Source organism: Homo sapiens, chromosome 17 (assembly GCF_000001405.40).
Source record: "Homo sapiens chromosome 17, GRCh38.p14 Primary Assembly".
Classification (NCBI taxonomy): Eukaryota; Metazoa; Chordata; class Mammalia; order Primates; family Hominidae; genus Homo; species Homo sapiens.
This window is the reverse complement of record NC_000017.11, coordinates 4828707-4850747: the sequence shown is the minus strand read 5'-3', so window position 1 is coordinate 4850747 and position 22041 is coordinate 4828707. Positions and strand designations below refer to the sequence as shown.

The window sequence follows — 22041 nt, the reverse complement described above, 5'->3', positions numbered from 1 at the left end:
GGTGTCCACAAACCCAAGGAAGAGACTAGAGAAGCTTCATGACCAAGAAAACTTGTGACCTGTACCCATATGATTTCGAATTCCAGAAGACCAATGACAGGCCATGAGAGAAAACTTAGGAAGGAAAGCTCTGAAGGACAAGGGGACAGGAAAAGAGATCCTGGAAGGAGAGGGAGAGGGTGTGAAGCTGAGTCAGCTGTAGGAAGAACAGGTAGAGGGCGGGGGGGGCCAGCAGGAAGGGGAGGAAGGACTGTCTGAATCACACTCTGAGAAAGAACAGGGTTACTCTCCAAAGGGTGGAGACCAGATATTCTCTGGCCCCACCAAGGACCAACCCAGGATAAATTACAGCTGAAGAGACGCAGGTGAGACAGAAGGGGAACTTCCTGACCAGCAGGATGGAGCAAACATGTTCACTCAACTTTTCACCAGGCCTGTCTCTCCTGTTTATCCTAAGAAACCTTCCCAGACACCTTTCATGCCAAATCTATGGCCTGGTGAGCCAGCTCATGCATTCATTCAACAAACACTGAGTGTCAGCTATGTAGAGGCATTGCTAGATACTACAACGTGGCGTTGAACAAAACAGAAATGGTCCCTTCTTCCTTCATGGAGCTTACAGTCTAATCAAGGAAGCAGACATTAAAGACATAATTACACAACACCTGTGAAAGACTCTGATGAAAAAATACAGAGTGCTATCAGAACGATTCAAGGAGGCTGCAGTGAGCCACGCTTGCGCCACTGCACTACAGCCTGGATGACAGAGGGAGACAGTGTCTCAAAAAAAAGAAGAAAAGAAAGATTAAAGGGAGGTCAAGATGGGAAGGGAGCCAGGAAAGGCTCGCTAAGGAAGTGATGTTTAAGCTGAGACCAGCCGGGCGCGGTGGCTCACACCTGTAATCCCAGCGCTTTGGGAGGCCGAGGCGGGCGGACCACCTGAGGCCGGGAGTTCGAGACTAGCCTGACCAACATGGAGAAACCCCACCTCTACTAAACATACAAAAAATTAGCCGGGCATGGTGGCGGGTGCCTGTAATCCCAGCTACTCGGGAGGCTGAGGCAGGAGAATCGCTTAAACCAGGAGATGGAGGTTGCGATGAGCCAAGATCGCACCATTGCACTCCAGCCTGGGCAACAAGAGCAAAACTCCATCTCAAACAAACAAACAAAACACGCTGAGACCACAGGGACAGGCAAGAGTTAGCCAAGGGAGGAGCAGGGGTGGGGAGCACACAAAGGCTCAAGGCAGGAATCTCAAATCTCCAGGCAAGGCAGAGTAAGGAGCCCAGCATCCTGAGCCGCCCAGCCTTCAATCTGTGCCTTTCAATAAAGCTCTTTATACATTTCTGTGCCAATGTCTTGTCTCTCACATCCCAACAAAGCTGTGTGTCCCCAAGGGTGAGGCATAGGTTTTCCCCTCAGGCTGAATGCTTTCTCTGGGTGGGTCCAGAGCTTTTACAGAAAACAGCACGCAGGGCCAGAGTGACTGCCCAGTGATTGCCGGAATTCCTGAGTCAGGACAAACAGGAGTTTCGTGTTCAGATAGAAGATTTTGAAGTTACTCTTCCTTGCAGTGACGCTGGAAGACTTTCAGGAGATGGTAGGAGGCTCTAGGACTGGGAAAGGGAAGCCAAGCCCACAGAATTCCAGGTCTACACCTGGGGCTCACTGACTCACTCTCAGCCATTTACCTTAAAATCAATAGACTGGGTGGTTTTCTCTTTCTTAAACAAAATACTAAGTCAGGGGGAGAGGAATGTTAAAGAACCCCAGGAGACACGCTTTCTGGGAACTTTGTGCAATAAGAGATGTTGGGCAGCTACCACCTGTCTAATGAGCATTTACCAGACTAAGCACTTTACATCCCTTTTATTTAATCCTCTCAACATCCCTATTAGGTGAGTCTTGTTACCTTCATTTTACAAAGGACAAAACTGAGGCACAGGGGCCAGGTTCGCGGTGGCTTAGGCCTGTAATCCCAGCACTTTGGGAGGCTGAGGCAGACGGATCACCTGAGGTCAGGAGCTCAAGACAAGCCTAGCCAACATGGCAAAACCCCATCTCTACTAAAAAATACAAAAACGAGGCCAGGCGCGGTGGCTCACGCCTGTAATCCCAGCACTTTGGGAGGCCGAGGCAGGCGGATCACGAGGTCAGGAGATGGAGACCATCCTGGCTAACACGGTGAAACCCCGTCTCTACTAAAAATACAAAAAATTAGCCAGGTGTGGTGGCAGGTGCCTGTAGTCCCAGCTACTTGGGAGGCTGAGGCAGGAGAATGGCATGAACCTGGCAGGCGGAGTTTGCAGTGAGCCGAGATCACGCCACTGCACTCCAGCCTGGGCGATAGAGTGAGACTCCGTCTCAAAAAATACCCCCAAACACTGAGGCATAGGGGTATGAGTTACTTGCCAAAGAACACGTAGTAAGTGACAGAACTGGGGTTTGAATCAAGTCTGTCTCCAAGGTCTGTGCAGTTGCAGGGAGCGATGGGGAAGGTCCCCCATTCCAGGTTCCTCTCTGTCCCTAAGGAACAATTCCCTGTCTTCACAAGTCAATCCCCATTTGGTTCTGACTGCTCTTCCTCCTCAGCACTAGCAGACTCAGGAAACCGTCTCTGGAGTGTACATATTCTGAAGGTCATATTTCAAATCAAATAGTCCTTCAGAGTCCCTCCCGTCCTCCCTCCCTCCTTCTTCCTCTCTCTCCCCCATCTCTCCTCTTTTAAACAGAGATGAGGTCTCTATGTTGCCCAGGCTGGTCTCAAGCTACTGAGCTCAAGCACTCCACCCACCTCTGCCTCCCAAAGTGCTGGGAGTACAAGCATGAGCCACTGTACTGGGCCCAGACCTTTTTCTGAAACTTCCCTTTATTTTTTGTGTCCTTCCCATGGATGCTGGGCTCCATACCCACACTCCAACACTGCGCCCAACCTGAGATCTCTCTACACAGTAGGAACTGATGTTTCCGAGACCAGCTCTGAGACACCACCCGCCCTGGCCACTGGCACCCCCCGTTTCTGTCAGCTCCTCCCAGCTTAACACACAGTCACCACCTCATACATGCACTTTTCCTTATATATAGAACACTGTAAATTACACATTTAATATATTCATATGTTTAAGTCAGTGTGAGAACAAATAAAGCATATTTTGACCTCTATGACAGGGGGCTGGCTCTGTCTCATAGTAGGCACTCAAAAATTTTTAGGAAGAAATAAGGACTCCTGGGCCTGAAGGGATCTTAGGGAATCCTATCATCCTACAGTCCTCGGGAAACACTCCCTGCAACTGCATAGGCTTTGGAGACAGACTTGGATTCAAACCAGCATCAGCTCACCTAGTCAGGTGTGGTGGTGGGAGCCTGTAATCTCAGCTACGCTAGAGGCTGAGGCAGGAGAATTGATTGAACCGAGGAGGCAGAGGATGCAGTGAGCTGAGACTGCGCCACTGCATTCCAGCCTGAGCGAGACTCCATCTGAATGAATGAATGAATGAATGAATGAATGAATGAACTGGAACCAAAACTAGAACCAGGTCACCCGGCTCCTCATGCCATGTTCACTCCATGGATCACATTGCCTCAAAGGCAAAGTCAAACAGCCCGTTGTGTTAGCAGGCCTCCCACTGACAGCTCTTTAGAGATAGGCAATTTGGGCCACCTGAGGAGGTTATGAGGCCAGGACAGGAGATCCGGGCAGTAGCAGGTATGTTCATTGTTAACTTGTGAAACACAACTAAGCTGCAAAGACTACACTTTGGACTCCACACTGACCAATCTCACACGAGATCTCTGTTTCTGGTGGGGACTGGGCAATGCGGCAGAGTCATGAGGCATGAGTATGGGAAGTCAGCTCTCACTAGCTCTGAGGCCTTGGCCGACTGCTGGCACCTTCTGAAATGTAAGATGGGGCCGAGCCTGTGGCTCACACTTGTCATCCTAGCACTTTGGGGGGCAGAGGTGGGAGGATCACTTGAGGCCAGGAGTTCAAGGCTACAGCAAGTTATGATCATGCCGCTGCACTCCAGCCTGGTCAACAGAGCACGACCCTGTCTCAAAAAAAGTCATAATAAGATGGCCCATAGAGGCTCTGCTTTAAACACAAACACTTCAATCACTTATTACTTGTATTGGCGATGGTGATGGGAACAACATCCAGGCAGACTGTAGGATAACACCTAAGGATGTTAGTGTCTCTAGGAGTCATCAATTGGAACATTCCTTCATTCAAACTTTGAACATTAGGGTGGGGTAGACTGAGACTCAGTCCAAGGAAAACAACTGACTGCCATTCAGACCTGGCTCAGCCTAAGAAAAAAGTACGCTTTAGACTGCAGTAAGAGGAATTGTGGTGAGAAGGGCCATTCGGTATTGGGCAGTTCCTGGAAGGTGTCATCAAATACATGCAGCTTCCTCTAAGGTTGTACAAGGAGACAGAGAAAAAAGACCTCATGAGTCCTTGAGTCTTCCCTTGATCCTTCCAATCTGACACTATTGTGAGGAAACGCAGAGGTCTTTTGCACTGCAGGCTTCTGCCTGGTAATGTAAGGGCACAGCCCACAACAGTGTACCCTAAGATACCACCCCAGCCTACCAGCTAGAGGCCTGTATTTTGACCTCTAAGACAGGGGGCTCTCCTGCCCTCCTCTCTTCCTGGGCCACCTGGAGAATAAGTGTGTCACTCCCTCCCTTTTTCCTCCTTCCCCATGAAGGTCAATGAGAAACTGTAAATAGCAAGGATGAGGGAAAGTGAGGAGGCCAGGGAGGCCATTGCATTCATCTGTGTTCTAAAATATCCAACTCAGCCACATGCGGTGGCTCACGCCTGCAATCTCAGCACTTTGGGAGGCCAAGGCAGGTGGATCACTTGAGGTCAGGAGTTTGAGACCAGCCTGGCCACCACAGTAAAACCTCCATCTCTACTAAAAATACAAAAATTAGCTGGGCGTGGTGACGCATGCCTGTAGTCCCAGCTATTATGCTTGGGAGGCTGAGGCAGGAGAATCGCTTGAACCCAGGGGTGGAGGCTGCAGTTGAGCCAAGATTGTGCCACCGCACTCCAGCCTGGGTGACAGAGCAAGACTCTCTGTCAAAAAAAAAAAAAAATCCAACTCAATTCCAGGTCATGCTTTGGGTCTGTCCAGGAGTATGAACACTAGAGGAATACAGAGCCTGACCTGGCTCTCAACTGTCGAGGCCTGGAGGTCCAGGAGGGTTGACCGCCCTTTAACACATGTACCCCTCACATACTAATACAGAAATGCTGTTACATTCTATGATCTTCATCCCCTAAACGACCTTATTTCCAACTTCCTCTAGCACCTACCCATCAGACCCCCAGGATGAGATGAAGTAAGAGGCTGAAAACAAGCAAGATGACGAACATGAGCATAGCAGAACCAGAACGCAAGTCATGGCTGGGGGGTGGCAAAAGGAACTGAATACGGAACAGAAACCCTTAACTTCTCTTGCTGCTGCCCAATCCTCTTGTGATTCCAGACAGCCATTTCATTTAAAATCCCTTTCAGAAGCCTGTCATCTTGCATTAGAGCTGGGAGGGGGGTTGTGTTCTGGGTTGGCTGATGATACATGGACTTCTGAGACATGCACCTAGGCGGACTCAACAAATATTAAACATCTGCTCGGTCAGACCCTCTGCTCAACTCTGCACACACAAAAGACAATGAGATGCAGAATGGTGGGTGCCAGGGGCTGGAAGGTGGAGGGTTCAGAGAGTCAGTGTTTAATGGGTACAGAGCTTCATTTGGGGAGGATGAAGAAGTTCTGGAGATGGATAGTGGTTACAGTTGCACAACAATGTGAATGCACTTAATGCCACAGAAGTGTACGCTGAAAAATGGTTATAATGGTAAGTCTTACATATACTTAATCACATTAAAAAACAACAACAACACATTTTTAAAGGGTGGGGGGAAATGAGACAGCCTTCCTCTCCTCCCTCTGAAGAGGCTTTCTTTTGAATTATTCGACTATCTTTCCTGCAGACCAAATATTCTGAAGTCTTCTGCATGTCCTCTTCATCATCACAGTGATCTACCCAGCGGCCCTACATTTAGAAATCTCTATTAGTTCTGGGTACGAGCCCCGTGGAGCTCTGTATTCCCAACATGTGCTCCCCAGTGCCAACCCACCACCTGTTCAGCTCAGGCTGAGGTCACTCACTCTCCCCACCTCAAAAAGACCCAGGTATACGAATAAAAGGTGTCCTCTATTAAGACACAGATCTAGAGGCCAAGTGCTCCTGGAGGGCAGTAACTATCTCTCATACAGACTGTCTCCAGCCCATGAAACAGGCCATATTCCAAAAGTCTCCAAAAACTTTACCAAGAAACGTTATGGATAATGTTTTAGTCCTCAGTAAGCCCACAAAGCCTGTTTACCATAAGTCACAGAAATATCACACATTTACAATTAAAACAGGCAGGCCGGGCACGGTGGCTCACATTTGTAATCCCAGCACTTTGGGAGGCCGAGGTGGGTGGATCACCTGAGGTCAGGAGTTCGAGACCAGCCTGACCAACATGGTGAAACCCTGTCTCTACTAAAAATACAAAAATTAGCCAGGTGTGGTGGTGCGCACCTGTAATCCCAGCTACTCGGGAGGCTGAGACAGGAGGATCTTGAACCTGGGAGGTGGAGGTTGCAGTGAGCCTAGATCGCACCACTGTACTTCAGCCTGGGCAACAGAGCAAGAGTTCATCTCAAAAAAAGCAAAAAGAAACCAAAAAACAGGCAGAAAACAATACCAGTTGCATGTAGTCTAGAGTGCCAGCTACACACTGCCCTCCTGTCCTCCCCTCAGTGCCCACCCCCAAATACCCACCGCCACGTGGGAGCAGGTCTCCCTCCAACAGCATGGCAGCCCAGGTTTTGGAGTCAGACTTGAGTCTGAATGTGGGCTCTGCTGCTTACTGGCTGTCCAACCTCAGGCAAGTTACTTAACTTCCAAGTTAATTTCTGTAAGCTTTGGTTTCTTCATCTTGCAAATGAGGATAATATTGTCCACCTCAAAGGGTTCTTGTGAGGGACAATGAGATTACAGAAGGAAAGAACCTACTGCACAGTAAGTGTTCATTACGGTTCTTATTCCAACCCCAAACACCCCCTTCTGAAATGAATCTGCATCATAATATAAATGACTTTATCACAGCAATCTTTGTTCCAAACAGAAGACAGACAGAAAAAGGACTTACTAGAACCAACCAACTTCCTTTTTTTTCTTTTTCTTTTTCTTTCTTTTTTTTTTGTGACGGAGTCTCGTTCTGTCGCCCAGGCTGGAGTGCAGTGACGCAATCTAGGCTCACTGCAACCTCCGCCTCCTGAGTTCAAGCGATTCTCCTGCCTCACCCTCCCCAGTAGCTGGGATTACAGGTGCCTCCCACCATGCCTGGCTAATTTTTTGTATTTTTAGTAGAGACAGGGTTTCACTATGTTGGCCAGGCTGGTCTCGAACTCCTGACCTCAAGTAATCTGCCTGCCTCAGCCTCCCAAAGTGCTGGGATTACAGGCATGAGCCACTGCGCCCAGCCCAAACCAACTTCTGATCCACATCCTGCCTGTTCCCCCTACCCTGCTTCGACACGTGGGGCTCAGGTAGTTTCCACTGTGAGGAATGACCTTGTTAAGGTTAGGCGGACTCTCTCCACCTCCTCCAAACCTTAGCTACCCAAGGCCAGGAGCCTACCAAGTTCTGCTCTCTTGACTGGGACTGGGAAACAGCGAGCTGTGGAAGGCAGCTCTGCACAGCTCCAGCTCATCCCGCTCAGCTGTGCTGCTTCCCAGCCACTGGTCCACCCTGAAAGGATACACTAGGGCAAGGTGTCTTCTACTGTCTCTGGTCACTCCCCCAGATGTAAGTAATGACATTCATTCACCACACCTCTGTCTTCAAAAAGACAAGTGTAGGATGAAAAGACCCCAGAGAAGAGACGATGTGCTGGCCCCTCTCTAAGACGCCACATGCACCTGCCTATCTTTGCCTCACGCTGCTTAGGCTTTGGGGCACTCTGTCCAACTGTTTTCTTGAAGACTCTTTCCTGAGTCACTTAGAACTAAAGACTAAGTATTGCAAGCTTCAGCCACTTTCTTAAAAATGTGCCTTGAAAGAAAGAGTGGGTGGGTGGTGAAAAGAGAACATGAAAATCTTCCTTACAGTCTGGCTGGGAGCCTACCTATTTTACCTCCAGAGGTATGCTAGCAGACAAAAGCTGCTAGATATGTGCCATGCACAAGGGTAATTTAGAGCCCACATTCCTCTCTCTACCTGGAAAGAAGTACACAGGGGACTTAGGAACTACTTCCTACTTCATGGAAGAAACCTGTCCAGTCCCTCCCCGGGTCTCTCCCATGTCCATAACAAGTTCATGAGAGGTACCAGTGGCAATACGGGTGGAAAAACAGTTCTTCGATGCACTGTCCCAGACTCTGCCAGATGGTTAACATCCCCAATCCCCATGTGCTAAATGCCGTTAGTGCTCCCAAGGCAGTTTTTTTTTTTTTTTGGACAGAGTCTCGCTCTGTCGCCCAGGCTGGAGTGCAGTGGCGTGGTCTAGGCTCACTACAAGCTCCGCCTCCCGGGTTCATGCCATTCTCCTGCCTCAGCCTCCCAAGTAGCTGGGACTACAGGCGCCCACCACCGCGCCCGGCTAATTTTTTTTTGTATTTTTAGTAGAGACGGGGTTTCACCGTGTTAGCCAGGATGGTCTCGATCTCCTGACCTCGTGATCCGCCCGCCTCGGCCTCCCAAAGTGCTGGGATTACAGGCGTGAGCCACCGTGCCCGGTGCTCCCAAGACAGTTAATCCTCCCTCCTCAGCATTTCCGAACACCCCCTGGAGGCCAGCGGTGCCCTGGCTGAGAACCAGAGTCAGCACCTGTACTGCTTTGTATCCCACCGTGCCCAGCATATACTGGGCACCCTGTACTAATTGTGGATTGAATCTAGTAGGAAAGGTCCAGTCACAGACATACTTAGATCCATGTCTCTTACCAAGTAATTTCTGAACCCCTACTGTGTGCTCAGCATCTTTACAGGGATCAAGAGGAAATATGGATCACAGTCTCTACACATAAGGAAGTGGTAGGAAAAACAAGACCATAAAACATTATTCAATATAAGGCAATATATAAGCCAATGCTAAATTGTAAGGTCTGTGAGAAAGTGGATGATGTGATCAGTAAAGGCTGGCAAAATCGGAGGGGGGGCTTTGTGGGAAAAAAACATAAGTTGAGGTGGCTCTTGAAGGAGGTGGGATTGTCTTCATTCAGCCCTACCGATCCTCAGTCTGTCCCTGCCAGGACCGCTGTTCATAGAAAACTCCTCTAAGCCTGTGGTTCTAGGAGCAATTCGGCAACCCAAGCCCTTCAAATCCCATCCCCAGGTGGTTCCTGGAACAAGACGGTGTGAGAAATTTCCCATTCTTTGTCAGAAGACCAGAGAATATCAGGCCTGCTTTCAGGAGGCCTGCTCATCCCAAAGGCAATGGAAGAAACCACTGGCGGAAGTGCCCGTGCGGAGATGCCCAAGACAGAACCAAAAAGCATTTGGTGCTACGTGTACATACTGAGTCACAGGCTCTAAGTGCTGGGGCCCCCAGTTGTGACCACAGACACTCCCCACGTCGCCTGTCCCGTGTGGCCCTGGAATTTACCTGCTGTGGATGAACCTGAGGTCTCAGCTATCTCCTCTGTCAAAGGTCTTCCTGTCTCCTCCCTCGCCAACTATCACCACGTTTCTTAGGCAGCTCGTCCCCATTTCCTCCATTCATCTCTCTCCAGCCACCCAGGCTCCTCCCACAGGCTGTGCCACCAAACTCTCCTCACAGCCCACCTCACCGTCTTCTACGCTGCCATCCTCCCGACATTCAAGCTGGTCCCAGAGCCTGGCTCCTTCAGGAAGCCCAAGACTTGTGGCTTCCCCAACCCTGTTTCCTTTCAAACACGCAAAATCAGTAACACTCCCCCTCCACACCCCACTCATCCTTTACTTGTATACAATGTAAATGGAGAGTCTTGTCTATTTATATACACTATCTATCCAATGTTAGAAAGAATCCCACTTCCCACAGACCATGCAGCTAAGCTGAGGGCTGGGCCTACTTGTTCTTATTTCCGTGAGACTCACCTACCTTCCAAACTCCAGGCACCCCTTAGGCTAATAACATCTAGGGATACACCCTCCTCTCTCATATACCCCATTCTGAGGAGCCACATCTAAACTACAGACCCAGGACCCAGAGTCCCTCCCCCAGTAAGTAAAAATGAGGATTATATGAGTCATAAGCTCTTTCCATATACATGCTCTTAACTTTTGAGACAAACAAATAAACCATTTTTTTTCCCCTCCCACAGGAAGATTCAGAAGAAATCCTTTTGGAATTAAGCCTGGAGTTTCCACCCCATCCTCAGGCTTCTTGCCCTCAATTGTTGACCAAATGCTTCACCATAAGAATGGCCCCATTCCAGAGTCTCCCAATTCTCACCATCACCAAACTCTACCTGCTGGTTCAACTCTATCTCATCTTTCTGCAGCAATGCCAGTTTAGCTTTCTGACATGATTTACGTCTCTCTCAATCAACTAGATATTTTTGTCTTATAAAAGTTTTGTCTCGTAAAAGCAATTTTTTTTCCATGACACAGCCCTCAGGAGATCCTGAGAACATATGCTCAAAACAACTCTTGTTATATGTGCCCACGGCATGTTAAAGTTTTCACTACAGTCCTTATCATGGCTTGCAATCACACACACACACACACACACACACACACACACACACACACACACATTAATAAATAATTACTTGATTAATGTCTCTCCCTACTACTAGACTGTATCACCACTGTGTCCTCTGTGCCTAGTTCTAGATCTTTCCTCAAACAGAACACAAAATCCTACCCACACGTAGCACGTACAACCTCAGGCTGTCTAGCCACTGGACAAAATCTCCAGGGGCTCTCTTGGGTCACTACAATTCCATCCCTCTTTTCTCTCCTCCCTTTACTATTCCCGCCCTTAGTAAGAACAAAGAGCCTCAAAACCCTTTTTCCATTACCCCCTAGAAGAGCTTCCTATAGATAAGAGAAGCCCAGTCTCAAGTCAAGGACTGGTTGGTTCGGAGGAGAATGGCAAAAGAACTGGAGAGAGCAAATGGCCGTGAGCTGTGGACAGGATCCAAGTCTTCTACCAAGTCACGTTTTTGTATCTTACTATACTCTGTGTGAATTCAAGAAATGCTTTGAGAGTTGACTTATTAACCTGATCACTTTTGTTCTGTCTTCAATCCAGGAAAGAGAAGACTGAGACAGATAGTAGTAAAAAGTAGGTGTCGAAGGGAGTGGGGCTGAAGACCAGGTTTCAAGATGACTGCCCACTGACCACAGAAAATGAGTGTAATTCATGGAAATCAGGTTTAACAAAAATGTCCCAACCTTGAAGGTTGCAGGATATTGAGGAAAACAGTAACAGTTAAGAAAAAGAGTCTAGGCCGGGCACGGTGGCTCGCGCCTGTAATCCCAGCACTTTGGGAGGCTGAGGCGGGCAGATTACAAGGTCAGGAGATCAAGACCATCCTGGCTAACACGGTGAAACCCCGTCTCTACTAAAAATACAAAAAATTAGCCAGGCATTGTGGCGGGCGCCTATAGTCCCAGCTACTCGGGAGGCTGAAGCAGGAGAATGGCGTGAACCTGGGAGGTGGAGCTTGCAGTGAGCCAAGATCGCGCCACTGCACTCCAGCCTGGGCGACAGTGCGAGACTGCGTCTCAAAAAAAAAAAAAAGAGTCTAGGCTTGGAAAGGCATTGCTTTGCTTGGGTGGATGTCCCCAGAGATCTGGTTAAATAGCTTAGTAGAGGACTGAGTACTATATTACATCCTTTCCATAGAATCTGGAACCTGATTCTCAATACATAGACTGCCAATGCTTGGCGACTGACTGGTGGAGGACAGGGGATTATTGATAACTTTCTCTGATTCAACTTTGTCTGGAGACAGAAATATTAGACAGGCAGACTCTCACCGGCTTCTGGAGATGTTCTCCAGTCCAGAATTGCTTTATGTTTCTGGGTTGAGAGGTTACTGCATGCCTTATCTACAGACCTACACCAGAATACAAGCTTATCAAGAGCGGCTGCACACTTCCTGCCATCATGTCCCCTAAATGACAAACAAAGATGGTTTACATGTGCAAGTTGTGTGTGCTACCCTGTCTTAGGCACACAGTTCAATGCGGAAAGGAATGGAGGCCAGATGTGAAGTCAGGATTCTACCCAGCAGAGTTTTAATTGAGCTCCTGGGGCAAGAGTGAGGGGGTGGGCCAGCTGGCTCTCTTGCTGACCTTACTGTTATCTTAACTGTCAAAACCTCCCTGCTGTGTATATCCCTAAGGACTATGGCAAACTGTCCTATCCCATAGCATAAAGGGTGGGGATGTCTCTCCCTCTGTTTGGGGAATGACTGATCACCTAGTTTCAGCCAAGTTCTCAGTAATCTTCCTTCCGTCATTTTGCCAAGGCAGCATTTCACTTCATCTAAATGCCTCGAGCTCTCCAAACAGCCCCATTCCCCTTTTGCAATTTTCCAGGGGAAAAAAGTCACTATTGAATGTCCTTACTTCTGCAGCAGGAGGTCACTCTTCCCATTCTCCTGCCTAAGGCATCTGTCATCAACATTTGGACAGCTAGCACATCAGAACACAGAGGCAGTCCCACGTTGCTCAGCAGCCTAGAAATACATGCCCAGAACTGCCAGCTTTCCGAGTGGTGCTGGCTCCACAGCCGCATGAAGAGAGGAGGAAGGCGAAGACACTTATCCAAAGAACAGACACAACAACACAAAATCATTTGAAAAAGAACATCTCTGTCAGCAGCTACCACCGAGCAACAAGTCCTCCTTGAATGTGCTCCATGCTATGATTTCAATCCAGCGACGCTAAGCATAGCTCCACAGTTTCAAGGACACTGCAGTCAAACTTCGAGCTGGATGGTAAAAAGAAGCTGTTTGATTTACGAAGTGGGTCAACCAAAAGGAGCAATGCAAAAGGAAAGAGGTCAGGCCGGGGCCTGCCCCCTCCTTGTCCCATCCACTTCCACTGATATTTATCCTTTGTGAGAAGCCAAGAGTTCCAAGTCAGAAGGTTCTCCTGGAATATAACCAAGCTTAGACACAGAGGCCCACATTTTCTCTTGGATGATCCTAACTTTACTTCAAGGGCATCGCTCAGCTGGAGGCTTCCAGAACTGTTTACCCCAGACAAGGTCTGATTCTAAAAACATCCCAGAAAAAATATATTCTTAATTGTGCATAAATAAAAGAGGGGCAAAATGAAGCCTAAGAAGCCTGGGGTTTATTGAATACTTTCTCTAAGCAAGCACTGCACTGTGTTGTAAGTGGCACGTGTTGTAAGAGGCACTTCTGCAACAAACGTTTGAGCCCCCATTATGTGCAAAACATGCTTACAGGCACTGGGGATACAAAAATGAACAAAACAGCCAAAATCTTAGCTTTCACCGAACTGTTTGTTGTAGTTGTTGTTGTTGTTTGAAACAGAGTCTGGCTTTGTCGCCCAAGCTGGAGTGCAGTGGTGCAATCTTGGCTCACTGCAGCCTCCACCTCCAAGGTTCAAGTGATTCTCCTGCCTCAGCCTCCCGAGTAACTGGGATTACAGGTGTGCGCCACCATGCCTGGCTAATTTTTTTGTATTTTTTTTTTAGTAGAGATGGGGTTTTACCATGTTGGCCAGGCTGGTCTCGAACTTCTGACCTCTCAGGTGATCCATCTGCCTCGGCCTCCCAAAGTGCTGGGATTACGGTCGTGAGCTACCACACCCGGCCACTGAACTGACATTTTAGTGGGGCTGACAGGAATATATATGTCAGCTGGTGATAAATACTATGAGGAAGGATAAAGCAGACTAAGGGAATGCTATATAAAATTTTGTATAAAAATAAAGCAGAGGAGGGAGTGCTATTTTAGATAAAGTTGTCCTGGAAGGCTTCTCTGATTGCCATTTGATAAAAATAACTGCAAAAAGGGCTATCACATATATGATCACTGTGTGCTGGGAACTGTACTATGTACTTAACGTGCATTTAATCCTCAGCAACTCTGCATTCAGTACTATTACCATGCCCACGATACAGGACTGAATGAAGCTTAGAGAGGGTAAGGCTCTTGGCAGAATCTGCAGTAAGGGGAGCAGGGCCAGGGTTACATTGTAAGGGAAGAAACTAGGACTTGAACTCAGGGCTGCAACTTCAAACCACATGCTTTTCCTCACCACGCTGCAGCCAGGCTGGTGGAGAAAAGGAACCTCAAAGAGGTCAAGTGTGGCTGTGGCTACAAAGTAGCAGGTCCATCTGGCCTCCCCACACATGGCTAAGAGATTAACGCAATTCAATCTTCCCTAATATCAGACGATTACCCTCATCACCAGCTGAAAACCAAGCCTTATCTTGAAACAAGAGGAGAAATACACCTTGGGCTCCTTAAGGCCAGCAAATAAATACTGAATATGTTCCTCTCCCATCCCTCTCCCCAGCCCCCAACACAAGATGGTGTAGTAAAGGGAGACACCATTTCTCACTGGAAAACAGACAGGAATAGCACAAGAGATGACCACACTAGCTGCTTGACAGTGCCACAGCTCTCTGAGGTGGAGTCAGGGGGACAGGCACTGAGAAAAGGTCTGCAGCAGGGAGAAGGTAGGCCCTGGCTAGCCCCATGTCAAAGGAGGTACAGCCCTCCCTCAAGCCCTTGCATTTTAGGGTGGAAAGGGGGAAGCAGAATGCTTTCTTAAGCAGCTTAAGGCAGGCCAGACAGAAGCACTGGGAGCAGGTCACCCGGTCTCCTGAGGGGAGAGGAGAGTAAGGCTGGAGGCAACTGAGGAAGGCTAACATTGCTTCAAGCCGAGAAGTCCAGAAGGGAAATACCACATCTAAGGTCAGAGGGTATTTGTGGAATTGCTGGAAATCCCAGGTTGAGGGTCCAGGCCAAACTACCAAAAGAGGCTAAAAGAGAAACCCAAGCAGAGTCCCACAAGGTTCAAAGCAAAGGTTGTGGTTTGGACCCGCCCCGTTTTTTTGTTTTGTTTTGTTTTGTTTAAGACAAGGTCTCGCTTTGTCGCCCAAGCTGGAGTGCAGTGGTGCAATCTTGGCTCACTGCAACCTCCACCTCCCCAGTTCAAGCAGTTCTCCTGCCTCAGCCTCCTGAGTAGCTGGGATCACAGGTGTGTGCCACCACGTGTGGCTAATTTTTGTATTTTTAGTAAGGATGGGGTTTCACAGTGTTGGCCAGGCTGGTCCCGAACTCCTGACCTCAGGTGATGCCCCACCTCGGCCTCCCAAAGTGCTGGGATTACAGGTGTGAGCACCTCGCCCGGCCTGACCCACCCATTTTTTATTGTATTTTAGTCACCCCAGCCACAGGAACCTGTAGCCAGTTAATCAATAACCAAGGTAGGAAGGAAAGGTGGAAGTTCATCCCAGAATGGAGCACATTAAGGGACTTTTACTCAGAATCTGGATTTCCATCTTATATCCCGACTTGGGCATCCCAGTTTAAACCCTGGCCAAGCTGACCTTAAGAATCTCCCTCCTAAAGCCTTCAGACCCTCTCCTCATCAACACACACACATGTGCCTGCGCACACAGAGAAATTCAGCGTTCAGTCCCTCTCCCCAGAAATTTATCACGTTATCTCCAGCAAGTCAGGTCTCATAGCCCAACATTGCACCAAACAAATTATGACCTGAAAATGGGAAGAAAAAAAACTGTGTCACCTAGAGAAACCCAATTAACAACATGACTCTGCTCTCTTCAATTCCCCTCTCCCCTCCAGCCATATCCGGGGCACCTGTGTGGCTGACCGCCTTTTCCCACTACTGGCCATGTTCCCTGGCTGACTCAAAAGCCAGAAGACAGTCTGAGCAGGGGCCTCCAGAGAAGCGAACCTAGAGATGGGAAGTCCTGCTCTCCCCACACCTTGGCCTGGTGAGAGCGCTGGAAGGGCACAGGATCAAAACACCACCTGGCTGATAGTCTGGAGTGTTCACCTTGAAATCACTAAGTTGCCCCTTAAGCCAAAGCTCCCTGCCGAAGAAAAACATAAATGCTACAGAAAGCTCTTCCACCAGAGTGTGTAAGTGCCCCACAAGGGACAATGAACGGGTATTTCCAAGAAATTCCTGCAGCATTTGCTTCCTCTCAACCCCTTTCCTTATTAGCCCCTACCTTGAGAGGTCTCCATTGCTTCCAGCCTTTAGCTAACATAAACACCCACTGCCTTTCCAAACCTTCAGCCTGACCACATGTAGCATGTGTCGTGTGTGCGCGTGTGTGTGTGTGTAAACATCCTCTTCCCAGCCCGTGCTACAGTTTCCAAAGAGAAGAAATGCCTCCCCTCCTCCCCGAGGGCTCCCAGCCCCACGCTGCTGCAGAGTTGGTCATGTAATATTCAGGGACCCTGAGACCGGAAATGCCTGGTTCTGAACTGCTGCACTTGAAACAGGAGAGAAGGGATAGGGAAAACTGAACATGGGATTGAGGGTGACGGCACGAGGGGTGGGGTAGCTGAAATTCCGACCAGGGAAAGGATGCAATTCAAGGGTGGGCGAGGCAGAGAAAGAGGGATGAGAGAGAGGCTGTCGAGACAGTTGCAAAGTCAAAATTCCAGGAGCTGAGGAAGAGGAGGGGAAGGAAGAAGATAGAAGTAAGGGCAAAGGTGGAAAAGGGCCGAAAGGAGGTAAGGAACCACAATAAAGGTTCTCCAGGTGATGGGGGAGGCTAAGTTTAGGCGAACCAGTGGGTCCCGAACCCCAGAGTAAAGGTAGGGTGGCACGGAAGTGTGGGGGCGGGGCACCACAGGGTGGGGACCGAACTGGCTCCCAGCATCTGCAGCCAGTGGAGAGAGAAGGGAGCAGAGGGCGGGGGCCCAGCCGCGGCGGGAGTCCGGGAAAGGGGCACGGGTCGCCAAGGGGACCCAAGCTGGTGGAGGGGGCGCCCGGGAGCACGTGAGGCGTGCAGCCACCCCGCTCCCTCCCCTGCGGCGGGGACAGGAACCAGGGCGAGGCTGGGGGACGGCGCGCTCACCCGCAGGGCGGACAGGTCGATGTCGTCCAGGCTGCGGGCGGGGGCTGGGTCGCCCATGGCCTCCGTGGGGAACGGGGCACCGGGGCCGCTCACGCTCCGGCTCGGTTACTCCACTGCCGCCGTCGCCGCTTCTCCCCCATCGGAGAACCCCGGGGGCGGACTCCACCGCGCCTCCCCCGGAGACCGGGGAGGGGGAGGGCCGGCGCGAGGACCGACCCACCGACTGACAGGCGCTATCTCCCCGGAGCCAGCCACCCGAGCCTACCACCTCTCCTGCGCAGGCGCGGAGCGACCGCGCACTGGGAGGGTGGAAGCGCGAGCGTGACGCGAGCGCGCCGGGGCCCCCTCCCCCTAGGCGCCGACACCTGCGCGCAGGCGCAGGCGAGCAGGCGAAAGGCGCGCGCGAGGACGGAGCGACCGCGCGAGCCTGGCGTGAAAGAAGTGGGCGGCGGCCGAGGCGGCCGCGGAGCGCGCCCACCAGCTGGTGCGCGTGCGCACACGCGTTTCCTTTTCTTTCCCTATTTTTTTTGCCCTTTCTCTCCCTTATTTCCTTCTCAGATCTCCTTTGACGCCTTTCCTTCCCTTTCCCTCCTTCTTTCGTGTGCCCAGCTGCCAATCAAGCCACCCACCTTTCCATTTGCGGGGGAAGGGGGCGGTACCCAACCCCCTCTATTACTAGGGGGTTGTTATGGTAACTCCCCACGCGAGGGCTGGGTGGCCTCTAGATAGGACGGGCTGTCCACCCACCCAATTGCTATGGCAACAGTGGAGCCGCTGAGGGAGGGGCCACTCCGTGAGAACTTGGCTGGAGAAACCACGTGGGAGTTGGGGGGCAGAGGAGGGGCACCGGCTGCCTCAGGAATGCCCTTTCCACCCTCACCTAGCAGGTTGGGGAAGCATCGAGGTGCTCTCAGATCTCAGGATAAGGAATCCTACCGCAGACGTGTATCTCTGCACCTCTTTTAACAAAGTGTTCTGCACAAAGGAACTGTTTCCACAATTATTCATTGATCACTGGAGTCGCGCGTGGAGGAAGGGGTGGCGAAGGGGAAGAGAGGGAATCTGCGTTCAGTCCCTTAAAATATAGCTTGGGTCACCTTAGATCTAGTCATGTTGGCATAGCGCCTACAGCCATTAGCCTCAGTGGAGGCTGGGTAATGCTATCTAAGAACCACGAGTCATGTTCTACCACTGAAATGCTGTGTGACCTTGAGCAAGTTGCTTTGCTTCTCTGAGGTTTTCTTTCACTGTGAAATTGAGGGGGGAGGCTGTATGATCCTCAAGAGCTCTTCTAGCACCAACACTGCCTCTGAAAGACTCCACCACCAGCCTTAATATAAACATCATTTAAGAGAGTTTAATTTAGAAGTCCTTGAAAAATAGCTGAACACATTCCTTTCTGGACCGTTTTTAGCATTTGGGTGCACAGCCAGTCGGCCCCCTTCCCTAACCCCTAGCCCATTTTCCTTGCCACTGCCCTTATTCAAGCCGCTATCCCCATTCATCTCCTATTTGGCCTTCCGGCCTGACTCCTTCAAGTCAATTCTATTTTTTTTTTTTTTTTTTTTTTTTTGAGACAGAGTCTCACTCTGTCGCCCAGGCTGGAGTGCAGTGGTGCGATCTTAGCTCACTGCAAGCTCCGCTTTCCGGGTTCATGCCATTCTCCTGCCTCAGCCTCCTGAGTAGCTGGGACTACAGGCGCCCGCCACCTCGCCCGGCTAATTTTTTGTATTTTTAGTGGAGACGGGGTTTCACCATGTTAGCCAGGATGGTCTCGATCTCATGACCTCGTGATCCGCCCGCCTCGGCCTCCCAAAGTGCTGGGATTACAGGCGTCAGCCACTGTGCCCAGCCTCTATTTTTTTTTTTTTAAAGACAAAGTCTCGCTCTGTCACCCAGGCTGGAGTACAATGGTATGATCTCTGCTCACTGCAACCTCAAGCTTCTGGGCTCAAGCTATCCTCCAACCTCAGCCTCCCAAGTAGCCAGGACTACAGGCAGCGCATGCCACTACACCTGGCTGATTTTTATATGTTTTGTAGAGATGGGGCTTTGCCATGTCGCCCAATCTGGTCTCAAACCCCTGGCCTCAAGTGATCTGCCTGCCTCGGCCTCCCAAAATGCGGAGATTACAGGATCCCTTGAGGACAGGAGTTGGAGGCCAGCCTGGCCAACATGGTGGGGTTTTTTGTTTGTTTTTTTTTTTTTTTTTTTTTTTTTAGACAGTTTTAGTTTAGTTTAGTTTTTTTGTGAATTTGTGAATTTGTTTTTATTGGGGAACAGGACACAGGGTGGAAAATGTCACCTTGGTGGAGACAGAGTTTTGTTCTCGTTGCCCAGGCTGGAGTGCAGTGGCACAATCTTGGCTCACTGCAACCTCCGCCTCCCGGGTTCAAGCAATTCTCCTATCTCAGCCTCCTGAGTAGCTGGGATTACAGGTGCACGCCACCACGCGTAGCTAATTTTTTGTATTTTCAGTTGAGACGGGGTTTCATCATGTTGGCCAGGCTGGTCTCGAACTCCTGGTCTCAGGTGATCCACCTGCATTGGCCTCCCAAAGTGCAGGGATTACAGGCGTGAACCACCACAACCGGCCAAGCCTCGCAGACATAGTGAAACTCTGTCTCTATTAAAAATACAAAAAATTGGCCGGGCACGGTGGCTTGCGCCTGTAATCCCAGCACTTTTGGGGAGGCCGAGACGAGTGGATCACCTGAGGTCAGGAGTTTGAGACCAGCCTGGACAACATGGTGAAACCATGTCTCTACTAAAAATACAAAAATTAGCCGGGCATGGTGGCAGGCGCCTGTAATCCCAGCTATTCGGGATGCCGATGCAGAAGAATCGCTTGAACCCGGGAGGCAGAGGTTGCAGTGAGCCGAGAACGTGCCACTGCACTCCAGCCTGGGTGACAGAGCAAGACAACGTCTCAAAAAAAAAAAAAAAAAAAAAGCCGGGTGCAGTGGCTCACGCCTGTAATCCCAGCACTTTTGGGGAGGCCGAGACGAGTGGATCACCTGAGGTCAGGAGTTTGAGACCAGCCTGGACAACATGGTGAAACCATGTCTCTACTAAAAATACAAAAATTAGCCGGGCATGGTGGCAGGCGCCTGTAATCCCAGCTATTCGGGATGCCGATGCAGAAGAATCGCTTGAACCCGGGAGGCAGAGGTTGCAGTGAGCCGAGAACGTGCCACTGCACTCCAGCCTGGGTGACAGAGCAAGACAACGTCTCAAAAAAAAAAAAAAAAAAAAAGCCGGGTGCAGTGGCTCACGCCTGTAATCCCAGCACTTTGGGAGGCTGAGGCGGGAGGATCACGAGGTCAGGAGATCAAGACCATCCTGGCTAACACGGTGAAACCCCGTCTCTACCAAAAATACAAAAAAAAATTAGCCGGGCGTGGTGGTGGGCGCCTGTAGTCCCAGCTACTCCGGAGGCTGAGGCAGGAGAATGGTGTGAACCCCGGAGGCGGAGCTTGCAGTGAGCCGAGGTCGTGCCACTGCACTCCAGCCTGGGCGACAGAGCAAGACTCCGTCTCAAAAAAAAAAAAAAAAAAAATTGGCCGGGCGTGGTGGCTCATGCCTGCAATCCCAGCACTTGGGGAAGCCAAGGCAGGCGACTGCACTCCAGCCTGGGCAACAGCGCGAGACTCTGTCTCAAAAAAAAAAAAAAAAAAAAAAGGCCAGGCACGGTGGCTCACGCCTGTAATCCCAGCACTTTGGGAGGCCAAGGCAGGTGGATCACGAGGTCAAGAGATCGAGACCATCCTGACAAACATGGAGAAACCCCGTCTCTACTAAAAATACAAAATTGGCCGTGTGTGGTGGCGCATGCCTGTAATCCCAGCTACTTAGGAGGCCGGGGCAGGAGAATCTCTTGAATCTGGGAGGCGGAGGTTGTGGTGAGCCGAGATCATGCCATTGCACTCCAGCTTGGGCAACAAGAGCGAAACTCCATCTCAAAACAAAACAAAAACCAGATTGGCTGGGCATGGTGGCTCACACCTGTAATCCCCGCACTTTGGGAGGCTGAGGCAGGTGGATCACCTGAGATTGGGAGTTCGAGACCAGCCTGGCCAACATGGTGAAATGCCGTCTCTACTAAAAATACAAAAAATTAGCCGGGCGTGGTGGGGTGTGCCTATAATCCCAGCTACTTGGGAGGCTGAGGCAAGAGGATTGCTTGAACCCAGGAGGCAGAGGTTGCAGTGAGCTGAGATTGCACCACTGCACTCCCGCCTGGGTGACAGCGTGAGACTCTGTCTCATAAAAAAAAAAAAAAAAAAAAAAAAAAAAAAGGCAAAGTGTGGCATCAAAGACCCTTCAAGATTCTGCTGGCTTTTCTTGCCTTCTTTTTCTTTGTTAACGGTTTGCTTCTTTAGGAGTTGGGGTCTTGCTCTATCACCCAGGCTAGAGTGTAGTGGCACGATCATGGCTTACGGCAGCCTCCAACTCCTGGGCTCAAGTGTTAATCCTGCCTCAGGCTCTTGAGTTGCTGGGATTATAGGCATGAACCACCCTGCTCAGTGCCTGCCTTACTTTTCAATACTCAACTATTAGACCTCACATTTTCCAGCCATACTGAAATACTCTACTCACTTCCCAGAACTCAACTTTCTCTCCCCCAACCTTTGCATGTACTCTGTTTTCTCTTTGGAATATTCCCTAGCCTCTTGACCATGCCCATTCTTACCGTGCTTTGCTTTGTCCTACGTGTCTAAATCACCTCCTCCATGAAGCGTTCCTTGACTCACCAAGACTAAGTTTGGTTCTTCTGTTTTAGCTGCCTGGCTTTAGTCCATGGTAACATTTAATGATTTGAATTGTAAATGTCTTTTGAATCTCCTTAAAAGCAGGAATAATATTAGTCTTGTTCAGCACATGGCCTGGCACCCACTAGAAAATCAATAACGCTTAAAAAAAAAACAAAAGAA

At 50.0% G+C, this 22041-nt stretch overlaps 1 protein-coding gene across 27 annotated transcripts in view, besides 5 other annotated features; it reads right to left on the bottom strand.

Moving 5' to 3' along the window:
* The window catches only part of MINK1 (misshapen like kinase 1), a 64722-nt gene extending 47314 nt beyond the window's left edge, over nucleotides 1–17408 (bottom strand). For all 27 annotated transcript variants that reach the window (NM_001321236.2, XM_006721531.2, XM_006721532.2 and 24 more), the window contains exon 1: nucleotides 17108–17408. Coding sequence is in view for 26 of the 27 variants with exons in the window: in XM_006721531.2 (XP_006721594.1) it covers nucleotides 17108–17164 (57 nt within the window). In the remaining variant the exon portion in view is untranslated. The remainder of the gene's footprint in view (nucleotides 1–17107) is intronic.
* Nucleotides 369–1082: an enhancer, noted in NCBI's record as "H3K27ac-H3K4me1 hESC enhancer chr17:4752961-4753674 (GRCh37/hg19 assembly coordinates)". NCBI's record gives its function as "activates a minimal SCP1, AML or CMV promoter by ChIP-STARR-seq in naive H9 embryonic stem cells {active_cell/tissue: H9 hESC(naive)}" and the evidence as "EXISTENCE:reporter gene assay evidence [ECO:0000049][PMID:30033119]".
* Nucleotides 1083–1798: an enhancer, noted in NCBI's record as "H3K27ac-H3K4me1 hESC enhancer chr17:4752245-4752960 (GRCh37/hg19 assembly coordinates)". NCBI's record gives its function as "activates a minimal SCP1, AML or CMV promoter by ChIP-STARR-seq in naive H9 embryonic stem cells {active_cell/tissue: H9 hESC(naive)}" and the evidence as "EXISTENCE:reporter gene assay evidence [ECO:0000049][PMID:30033119]".
* Nucleotides 16858–17107: a silencer, noted in NCBI's record as "silent region_8047". NCBI's record gives its function as "represses an Ori minimal core promoter by ATAC-STARR-seq in GM12878 lymphoblastoid cells {active_cell/tissue: GM12878}" and the evidence as "EXISTENCE:reporter gene assay evidence [ECO:0000049][PMID:35858748]".
* Nucleotides 17118–17587: a silencer, noted in NCBI's record as "silent region_8046". NCBI's record gives its function as "represses an Ori minimal core promoter by ATAC-STARR-seq in GM12878 lymphoblastoid cells {active_cell/tissue: GM12878}" and the evidence as "EXISTENCE:reporter gene assay evidence [ECO:0000049][PMID:35858748]".
* Nucleotides 17565–18351: an enhancer, noted in NCBI's record as "H3K27ac-H3K4me1 hESC enhancer chr17:4735692-4736478 (GRCh37/hg19 assembly coordinates)". NCBI's record gives its function as "activates a minimal SCP1, AML or CMV promoter by ChIP-STARR-seq in naive H9 embryonic stem cells {active_cell/tissue: H9 hESC(naive)}" and the evidence as "EXISTENCE:reporter gene assay evidence [ECO:0000049][PMID:30033119]".